Source organism: Homo sapiens, chromosome 8, assembly GCF_000001405.40.
Source record: "Homo sapiens chromosome 8, GRCh38.p14 Primary Assembly".
Lineage (NCBI taxonomy): Eukaryota > Metazoa > Chordata > Mammalia > Primates > Hominidae > Homo > Homo sapiens.
In genome coordinates, this window is record NC_000008.11 from 74,598,781 (window position 1) to 74,608,647 (window position 9,867).

At 42.6% G+C, this 9,867-nt stretch overlaps 1 long non-coding RNA gene and 1 pseudogene across 2 annotated transcripts in view, besides 1 other annotated feature; one reads left to right on the forward strand and one right to left on the reverse strand.

Annotated features, from left to right (window-relative positions):
• The first annotated feature begins 976 nt into the window (after positions 1–976).
• MIR2052HG (MIR2052 host gene) overlaps positions 977–9,867 on the forward strand; it is a 158,596-nt gene continuing 149,705 nt past the window's right edge. Inside the window, exon 1 of one of the 2 annotated variants that reach the window (NR_197229.1) lies at positions 977–1,128. This is a non-coding gene — a long non-coding RNA (MIR2052 host gene). The remainder of the gene's footprint in view (positions 1,129–9,867) is intronic. The other variant, NR_033830.1, reaches the window with a different exon arrangement.
• Positions 2,704–3,903: an enhancer, noted in NCBI's record as "CDK7 strongly-dependent group 2 enhancer chr8:75513719-75514918 (GRCh37/hg19 assembly coordinates)". NCBI's record gives its function as "activates an origin of replication core promoter dependent on BRD2, BRD4, P300/CBP, MED14 and CDK7 cofactors, with strong dependence on CDK7, by STARR-seq in HCT116 cells {active_cell/tissue: HCT116}" and the evidence as "EXISTENCE:reporter gene assay evidence [ECO:0000049][PMID:35650434]".
• PCBP2P2 (PCBP2 pseudogene 2) lies at positions 4,097–5,780 on the reverse strand (annotated as a pseudogene).

Here is a 9,867-nt window from a genome sequence, read left to right on the forward strand (position 1 = left end):
TTGCTAGATTGGAGAAGTTCTCCTGGATAATATCCTGCAGAGTGTTTTCCAACTTGGTTCCATTCTCCCCATCACTTTCAGGTACACCAATCAGACGTAGATTTGGTCTTTTCACATAGTCCCATATTTCTTGGAGGCTTTGCTCATTTCTTTTTATTCTTTTTTCTCTAAACTTCCCTTCTCGCTTCATTTCATTCATTTCATCTTCCACTGCTGATACCCTTTCTTCCAGTTGATCGCATCGGCTCCTGAGGCTTCTGCATTCTTCACGTAGTTCTCGAGCCTTGGTTTTCAGCTCCATCAGCTCCTTTAAGCACTTCTCTGTATTGGTTATTCTAGTTATACATTCTTCTAAATTTTTTTCAAAGTTTTCAACTTCTTTGCCTTTGGTTTGAATGTCCTCCCATAGCTCAGAGTAATTTGATCGTCTGAAGCCTTCTCTCAGGTCGTCAAAGTCATTCTCCATCCAGCTTTGTTCCATTGCTGGTGAGGAACTGCGTTCCTTTGGAGGAGGAGAGGCGCTCTGCTTTTTAGTTTCCAGTTTTTCTGTTCTGTTTTTTCCCCATCTTTGTGGTTTTATCTACTTTTGGTCTTTGATGATGGTGATGTACAGATGGGTTTTTGGTGTGGATGTCCTTTCTGTTTGTTAGTTTTCCTTCTAACAGACAGGACCCTCAGCTGCAGGTCTGTTGGAATACCCTGCTGTGTGAGGTGTCAGTGTGCCCCTGCTGGGGGGTGCCTCCCAGTTAGGCTGCTCGGGGGTGAGGGGTGAGGGACTCACTTGAGGAGGCAGTCTGCCCGTTCTCAGATCTCCAGCTGCATGCTGGGAGAACCACTGCTCTCTTCAAAGCTGTCCAGACAGGGACATTTAAGTCTGCAGAGGTTACTGCTGTCTTTTTGTTTGTCTGTGCCCTGCCCCCAGAGGTGGAGCCTACAGAGGCAGGCAGGCCTCCTTGAGCTGTGGTGGGCTCCACCCAGTTGGAGCTTTCCGGCTGCTTTGTTTACCTAATCAAGCCTGGGCAATGGCGGGCGCCCCTCCCCCCGCCTCGCTGCCGCCTTGCAGTTTGATCTCAGACTGCTGTGCTAGCAATCAGCGAGATTCCGTGGGCGTAGGACCCTCCGAGCCAGGTGCGTGATATACTCTCGTGGTGCGCCGTTTTTTAAGCCCGTCGGAAAAGCGCAGTATTCGGGTGGGAGTGACCCGATTTTCCAGGTGCCGTCTGTCACCCCTTTCTTTGACTCGGAAAGGGAACTCCCTGACCCCTTGCGCTTCCCAAGTGAGGCAATGCCTCGCCGTGCTTCGGCTGGTGCACGGTGTGCACAGCCACTGACCTTCGCCCACTGTCTGGCACTCCCTAGTGAGATGAACCTGGTACCTCAGTTGGAAATGCAGAAATCACCCTTCTTCTGCGTCACTCACGCTGGGAGCTGTAGACTGGAGCTGTTCCTATTCGGCCATCTTGGCTCCTCCCTGAAAGCTCTGTTTTATTTCTTTTCTTTTTTTTTTTTGAGATGGAGTTTCAGGTGGGCATGGTGGCTCACACCTGTAATCCCAGCACTTTGAGAGGCCGAGGTGGGCGGATCACTTGAGGTCAGGAGTTCGAGACTAGCTGACCAACATGGAGAAACCCCGTTTCCACTAAAAATACAAAATTAGCCGGGCGTGGTTGCACATGCCTGTAATCCCAGCTACTCGGAGGCTGAGGCAGGAGAATGGCATGAACCGGGGAGGCGGAGGTTGTGGTGAGCTGCATTCCAGCCTGGGCAACAAGAGCAAAACTCCCTCTCAAAAAAAAAAAGAAAAAGGAAAAAAAAAAAAGAGACGGAGCTCTGTCAGCAGGCTGGAGTGCGGTGGCACAATCTTGGCTCACTGCAACCTCTGCCTCCCGGGTTCAAGTGATTATCCTGCCTCAGCCTCCCAAGTAGCTGGGATTACAAGTGCGTGCCACCATGCCCAGCTAATTTTTGTATTTTTAGTAGAGATGAGGTTTCACCATGTTGGCCAGGATGGTCTCGATCTCCTGACCTCATTTTCTGCCAGCCTGAGCCTCCCAAAGTGCTGGGATTACAGGCGTGAGCCACCGCGCCTGGCCTATTTAATTCTTAATAATGCTGTGACGTATAGGTGTATGGTAGAGTGAGAGACCTGGGACATAGGTCTTACTGGCCCTAAACCTGTGTTCTTTCCACAATATTCTTTGCTGCTTTACAAAAAGCCAGAAAGGCATTTAGAAATCTATTTTTAAGAACTTGTCATTTGATTATAGTACAGGATTTATAGGAATAAGGGGATTCATAAAGTCTTGAGAATTTTAATGCAGTCAGGTTGGCTAGGAACTCAGCCAATTTGTTTTCTTTCCTCAATTTCTTCTTAATTATTTGTATTTATATAAGCATCTTTACTGCAGAGGCCAAACCTCTTATTCTTAAATTCATAGTCCACTACCATTTGTCTGTAATCATTCAAGCTTTATCAAATTTATTATGTCTCAAAGCACTCCAACTGGAATTGCCATTCCTGGAACTTGTTCTTCTTGTTCTCATTTTGGTGTCTTTGTTCATGCTATTCTGTATAAGAGAGTGTGCCCATAACATAAGGGGTAGGCTGTGAGTGGCATACATTTTCCTGTCTCCTACAGAGACTGCTTGACTCCCTCATCTGTACGTGTTAAAATCACCCCACATTCCAAGGCCCAGTTCTTTAGGAAGTTTTCTTCAGTGTCTTCAATAGGAGTAAATCTCTCTCAGTTCCATTTGCCCAAGGATCTTCTGGTATAATATTGATCAAACTTTATATTGAATTATATTGATTAATGCTTTTTTGACAAATAGTTAATTCCTAATATGTGTACAAAACCTTTCTTGTTTTCTCCACTAAATCATAGCATATTTTAGGATAAGAGCTCAGTATTACTATTTTTTGTATCCCTTAGGCTACAGCAAAATATCAACACAGTAAACATTTAATTGATACTTGATTTGATGGTGAGCTGGCATTAGCTGACTGTACTTACTAATACCAGATTCTGACTGGCTTGTCTTACATTACTCAGGAGCATTATTAATCATATTTAAGTGAATAAATCTCATTATCTTCTCCCCTAGAATCATACTTCACTGTCCAAGTGAAAAGCAGATTATTCACAAGTCAATGCCTGTATTTTAGAACTTCTACTCTAGTAAATTTTAATTAGTTTTCACACTTGAAATTGTCAAAAGTGTTCAATCCAGAGAGACTCCATCCTGAATAGGGTCTGGGTAAAATGAGACTGACACCTACTGGGCTGCATTCCCAGGAGGTTAGACACTCTTAGTCACAGAATGAGGTAGGAGGTTAGCACAAGATACAGGTTACAAAGCTCCCGCTGATAAAACAGGATGTGGTAAAGAAGCTGGCCAAAACCTGCCAAAACCTTCCAAAACCAAGATGGTGATGAAAGTGACCTTTGATCATCCTCACTGCTTATTAGATGCTAATTATAATGCATTAGCATGCTAAAAGATACTCCTGCCAGCATCATGACAATTTGCAAATGCCGTGGCAAGGTATGGAAGTTACCCTATATGGTCTAAAAAGGGAAGGAACCATCAGTTCCAGAGATTGCCTGCCCCTTTCCCAGAAAACTCATGAATAATCCATCCCTTGTTTAGCATATGATCAAGAAATAACCATAAAAATAGACAACCAACAGCTACTCTGCCTATGGAGTGGCCATTCTTGTGTTTCTTTTCTTTCTTTCTTTTTTTTTTTGAGACAGTCTTGCTCCATTGCCCAGGCTGGAGTGCAGTGGCGCGATCTCGGCTCTCTGCAACCTCTGCCTCCTGGGTTCAAGCAATTCTCCTGCCTCAGCCTCCCAAGTAGCTAGGATTACAGGCACATGCCACCATGCCTGGCTAATTTTTGTATTTTTTTTTAAGCAGAGACGGAGTTTCACCATGTTGGCCAGGCTGGTCTCAAACTCCTGACTTTGTGATCCACCTGCCTCGGCCTCCCAAAGTGCTGGGATTATGGATGTGAGCTGCCATGCCCGGCCGTGTTTCTTTCTTTCTTTCTTTCTTTCTTTCTTTCTTTCTTTCTTTCTTTCTTTCTTTCTTTTTTCTATTCACAAAGAAAAAGCTCCAGTCCATTTTTAAATTTTTTTGAAAAATTCCTGACTTTACAGTACTAAACTGAAATGTATTAATATTCCATTCTTAACATTTCCATGACAGACAGAAAAATTCATGAGCCAAAACAAAACAAAACAAAACAAAACACCAAAAAAAAAAAAAAAAATCCCAGGTAGAAGCTTATAAAACTAAATATGGATCTCAGCACCAACAGCTGAACAGAGAAAGGAATTAAAACACTTTAAGTAAAAAATCACGAGTGGATGATAAAGTGTGTAGAAACTGAAAATTTACAAACTATTTAAAACCTGAAATCGCTGACTGTTCAGAAACTACACAGATGGATCATGGGTGGTGGTGAACAGCAGAAAGGGATTGTGGATAAATCTGCATTGTTCTAGCTGCTCCCCATGCCACCCGTCTCCGAGGAAAGCCTGACATTGATTAGATATTGAGCCAGGCTAATGCTGGCAGCAGATCCAGTGATGGTAACCTGCCTATCAGTAGATCCTTCCACTGGGTTCGCAATTTTGATCTGTGCCCCAGACATCTGACGGATCTCATTTATTTTGGCGCCTTGACGCCCGATTATGCAGCCAATCAAATCGTTTGGAATGGTAAGTTCATGAGAAGTAGTCTGAGCAGATGTATCCAAACCTGCACTGAATCCAGTGTTGCCATGCGTCATGGGAAAATGAGACTGTTGCATTGCCAACTGGTGCAGCATGGTCAAATCTGGCTGTGGAATGGCAAACTGTCCTTGAAGGGTATAGGCCTGACCGCCTGCAAAGATGACCGGAGAGCTGGAAGGCTTGAGCTGGTACGGGATGGTCACGCCCTTCGGGGGGGACTCCAACATGACCACACAGATCTGTTTGACACACTCAATGATGGATTGTGGGATGCCAGCAATAGTGATGGCCTGCTCAGTTGAGTTGGGTAGCATATCCCCTGCCATCTAGACCTGAGCCCCTGTACTCTCTCGTATTTCCTTGATCTTGCAACCACCTTTTCCAATGAGAGAGCCACACTGACTAGCAGGGACCACCAGCCTCAGGGTGACTGGGGGTCTAGTGGCAGCTGTGCTACTGGTCATAGAGCTGCTTATGTCCTCTTCCAGTTTGTCAATGATCATAGCAAAGCCTTTGAAGACGGCATTAGCAGGTCCAGCAAAAGTGATAATTCTCTCAGGACAATTCCCTTCTGAGATGTTGATAGGTGCACCACTCTCCTCGCGCATCTTCTTAACTGATTCTCCTTTCTTTCCGATGATACTGCCAACTTCCTTTCCATGCATAAGTAGTCGGATGGTGAGAGTGATATTTAATCCACCTTCAATCACACTGGTTTCCATGTCGAGCAGTGTTCTGGGGAGCTGGACTTTGAGTGGTCAAGTCTTTGGTCACTGATGGGGGGTGAAAGCCAAAAACTGCTGGCGCGAGGCGACTGAGGGGAAAAGGGGAATGGGCTGGAAGGGGAAGGGCGGGAGGCCGGGGGCGGAACAATAGGGGCAGGCGGGAAGGTGAGGGGGGGCCCCGCGGGCGGGCGGAGGAGGAAGGTGGGGTGGAGGAGGAGGAGGAGGAAGGGGGAAAGAGACCCCGGGGCGGGTGGGGGTGCCGTGGAGGGCGGGCGGGCGGGAGAGGGTGCAGACTGCGGCTGCTCAAGCTGCTCTGGGCCGGCCTTGTTTCTTTACTTTTTTTTTTTTTTTTTTTTTTTTTCTGAGACGGAGTCTTGCTCTTGTTGCCCAGGCTGGAGTGCAATGGCGCGATCTTGGCTCACTGCAACTTCCGTCTCCCAGATTCAAGCGACTCTCCTGCCTCAGCCTCCCTAGTAGCTGGGATTACAGGCATGTGCCACCATGCCTGGCTAATTTTTGTATTTTTAGTAGAGACGAGGTTTCACCACATTAGTCAGGCTAGTCTTGAACTCCTGACCTCAAGTGATCCTTCCATCTCAGCCTCCGAAAGTGCTGGGATTACAGGCGTGAGCCACCGCACCCGGCCGTTTCTTTACTTCTTTAATTAACTTGCTTTCACTTTACCCTGTGAGCTCATCCTGAATTTCTTGCATGAGATTCAATAACTGTCCCTTAGGGTCTGGATCAGAATGGCTTTCTGGTAACAAAATGACTGATTGTTTTTTGTCACTGTGTCTTAAGACCCATATTCTGCCCTTCATGATTATCAGTCACATGGGCCCTTGTTGCACCCTAACTTCATTTCTCTAGAAGACAGCTCTTCTTTTTGGGTTCCTTAGGACCCCGCCTTCCTCCCCTCATCAAAGATGCAGAGTCTGTGGTTTAGGTTGCCATTACTTGCATGCTATTTTTACATGAGGGGTAACTGACCGAATTTTAATACTAATTAGCTGTGATATAATACAGACACAGCAAATTCTGCCCAGGGAGGAACTTTGTAATCTGACTCAAAAGCTTCGTGGGCTAAGCAGGAGAGCATTTAACATTCACTGCTCACTGATTTGATTCCTTAGGGCATTTCACAATGAAGTATTGAAAATTTTCCCATTTATTGTGGTCTTGTGACATTTAGAAGGGAAATGGAAATAAGCTTGTGAGTATCCTATTTAAGAGTTCTTCTCTAATTTTGTAAGTTATGAGTTCCCTCACAAATTTTATAAGGAAATCTAGAGTAGTGTTAGTTGAGAAGAAAATACTTGGAAAGAAGACACTTGAAAGTAATGCCTGTGTTTTGGGGAACCACGATGAGGAAATTAGCTGCAATATGACCTTGAAAGGAAATTTTAGCACTTTGTAAATAATCAAGTTATTTGTACTGAAAGAGTTCCAACAAAGAAAAGAACATTTTTGATAGTCAAATAATTCAAATTTGAATGAATCACAAACTAGAAATAAAAAACTAAAGAACTGGAAATGATAACAAAGGCAAAATATAAACGACCTTCTAATTGTTTATTTCTCTTTAAAAGACAATCAACTGTTTAAATAAATTATAGTATCAATGTATTATTGTTGTACCTTAGCGAGTTAGAGAAAATGCCACACTTTGAGACAAATTAAGAGTCTGTTGATTTAGCCGGCGGCCAAGAGACGGCTAACACTCAAAGTTCTCTGGCCCCGAAGAAGGGGCTAGATTTTCTTTTACACTTTGGTTCAGAAAGGGGAGGTGGGGGGTCTAGTTAAAACAATTTTACAGAAGTAAAGTAGGCAAAAAAGTTAAAAGGATAAATGGTTACAGGAAAGTAAACAGTTCCAGGTGCAGGGGCTTTAAGACTATTACAAGGTGATAGACGCGGGGCTTTGGGTGTTATCAATCGGATGAATTCCTGGGAACTGTGGATATAGCTTGCCACAGTATCTTATCGGTTAATTGCATTCTTGGATGTGCTGGGAGTCAGCTTGCACAAGTTAAGTCCTTGAGGAAGGGGCTGCCAGTGAAAGAGCCAAGATGGAGTCTGTCTGGCTCTCTTAGCTAAGGGAGAGTCAATTCAGGTGGAAACAAGGCTAGGTGATTAAAGTAAAGGGAGAGTCTAAAAACAGGGTTAGTGAAAACAAGGTTGGGCATTACATTATGATATTTATAACATATGTAGAAATAAAATATGTGACAATACAATCACAGAGGCCAGCAGGGAAGAAGTAAAAGAATACTATTTTAAAGTTCTGATGTAATGTGAAAAATGGTATAATTTCACTTAAAGGTAGATTGCAGTAAGTTAAAAATTTATACAATAGTTCTCACTTATAAGTGGGAGCTAAATGATGAGAACACATAGACACGTACAGGGGAATGATAGACACTGGGGCCTACCCGAGTGTAGAGGGTGGAAGAAGGGAAAGGATCAGGAAAAATAACCAGTAGGTACTAGGTTTGATACCTGGGTGACAATCTGTGCAACAAATTCCTGTGACCTATATAATAAATCTGCTCATGCACCCCTGAACTTAAAATAAAAGTTTTAAAAAATTGTACTTTAAATCCTAAAGCAAACATTAAAAGAACACAACAAAAACATAGCTAGTATGTAACAAAGAAAAAAAGGCAGATAAAATGAAATAATAAAAAACCCTCAATCCTAAAGGCAAAAAAGGACAAATTGAACATTACCAATAGCCGTATTAAATGTAAATGGCCTAAAAATCCCAACTAAAAGGCAAAAAAATTGAAAGATTGGAGAAAAAAGCAAGATCCAACTATATATAGCCTATAAGAAACCCACCTTAAATATAATGACCCACACAGAGTAAAACTTAAAAAAAAAAAAAGATTTGCTTGCTAACATCAATCAAAAGAAAGCTGGAGTGGCTATATTAATATCAAAGAAAGTAGATTTCAGAACATAAAAATAATAGTAGCTATAAGATAATTAATTCACAATAATAAAGGGAGTGAGTTTTTTAGGGGAAAATGATATTAAACATTTAAGCACTTAATAATAGAGCTTAAAAAATACACATAACAGGCCAGGCATGGTGGCTCACGCCTGTAATCCCAGCACTTTGAGAGGCCGAGGTGGGTGGATCACCTGAGGTCAGGAGTTTGAGACTAGCCTGGCCAACATGGCAAATCCCCGTCTCTACTAAAAATACAAAAATTAGCCGGGCGTGGTGGTGGGTGCCTGTAATCCTAGCTACTTGGGAGGCTGAGGCAGGAGAATCACTTGAACCCAGGAGGCAGAGGTTGCAGTGAGCCAAGATCATGCCATTGCTCTCCAGCCTGGGTGACAAGAGTCAAACTCCATCTAAAAAAATAAAAATACACAAAACCAGAACTGATAGAACAAAAAGGAGAAATAGGCAAATCTACCATTTTATTCAGGAATTTAACCCTTTTTCAGTAATTAATAGTATAAGTGAAATACAGGTTTAGTCACTCACTGCTCATGGAGTTCAATTAATAAGAGCAAAGTCTGGTATAAAGAAAGTGACTCTTTATTACAAAACTAGCTTAGCGGAAGTACAGCCTTCCTGTCTTAAGGGTACCGCTTCACCTTTGGATCAGAAAGTGGTTGCTTTTAAAGGGGGCCTATTATGAATGGCACACAAGGGAGAAAGCAAGCAGGTGTGGGAGGTGTCTACATGTTAGCTTGGTGCCTTATCTATTGGGCAGTTGAATTGGCATCTTCATTGGCAGAAATATTAATAGATTGTAAAGGTGTCCAAAAACTCTCCAGGTGGGAGAGAATTTTGCATGGGACTTTGGGTTGTAAATTGGCGGCTGTCTCTTCAGACAGTTTCCTGGTAGGTTAAAATTTCATAGCAGGCATATTTTAGGTTGTAAGTCAACTGTTAACTCTTGGATCACCTTTTCGGTGGGTGAGAGTTCTGCTCTAGAGCTTCTAAGCACATAATTAGATGAACTTGCCCTATAGGGAGTGTCTGGGGAAGAAGATGTAAAAGGTTATAATTGCATTTCTAAAGGGCTAAATAGGAAATAGGGAATGGGGGAAATGGAGAAAGGAGAAAAGAAGAGAAAATAATTTTTTAAATTGTAACTCTTTTTTTCTTTAACAACTGGGTTACTCAGTTACGATAAGATGAAGAGAAAAAAACATCTATAAGAATATTGAAGTCTTAACACTATCAATCAGGTTGACCTTATTGACCTACAAAGAGCACTCCATCCTAAAAAATCAGAATACACATTCTTTTCAATGTATATTTTATGTGTATTTAATATATAGTTCACACTAAATATTTACCAAGATAGACCATATTCTGAATCATAAGTTAAGATTCAATCAATTAAATTCATACAAAGTATATTGTCAGACCACAGT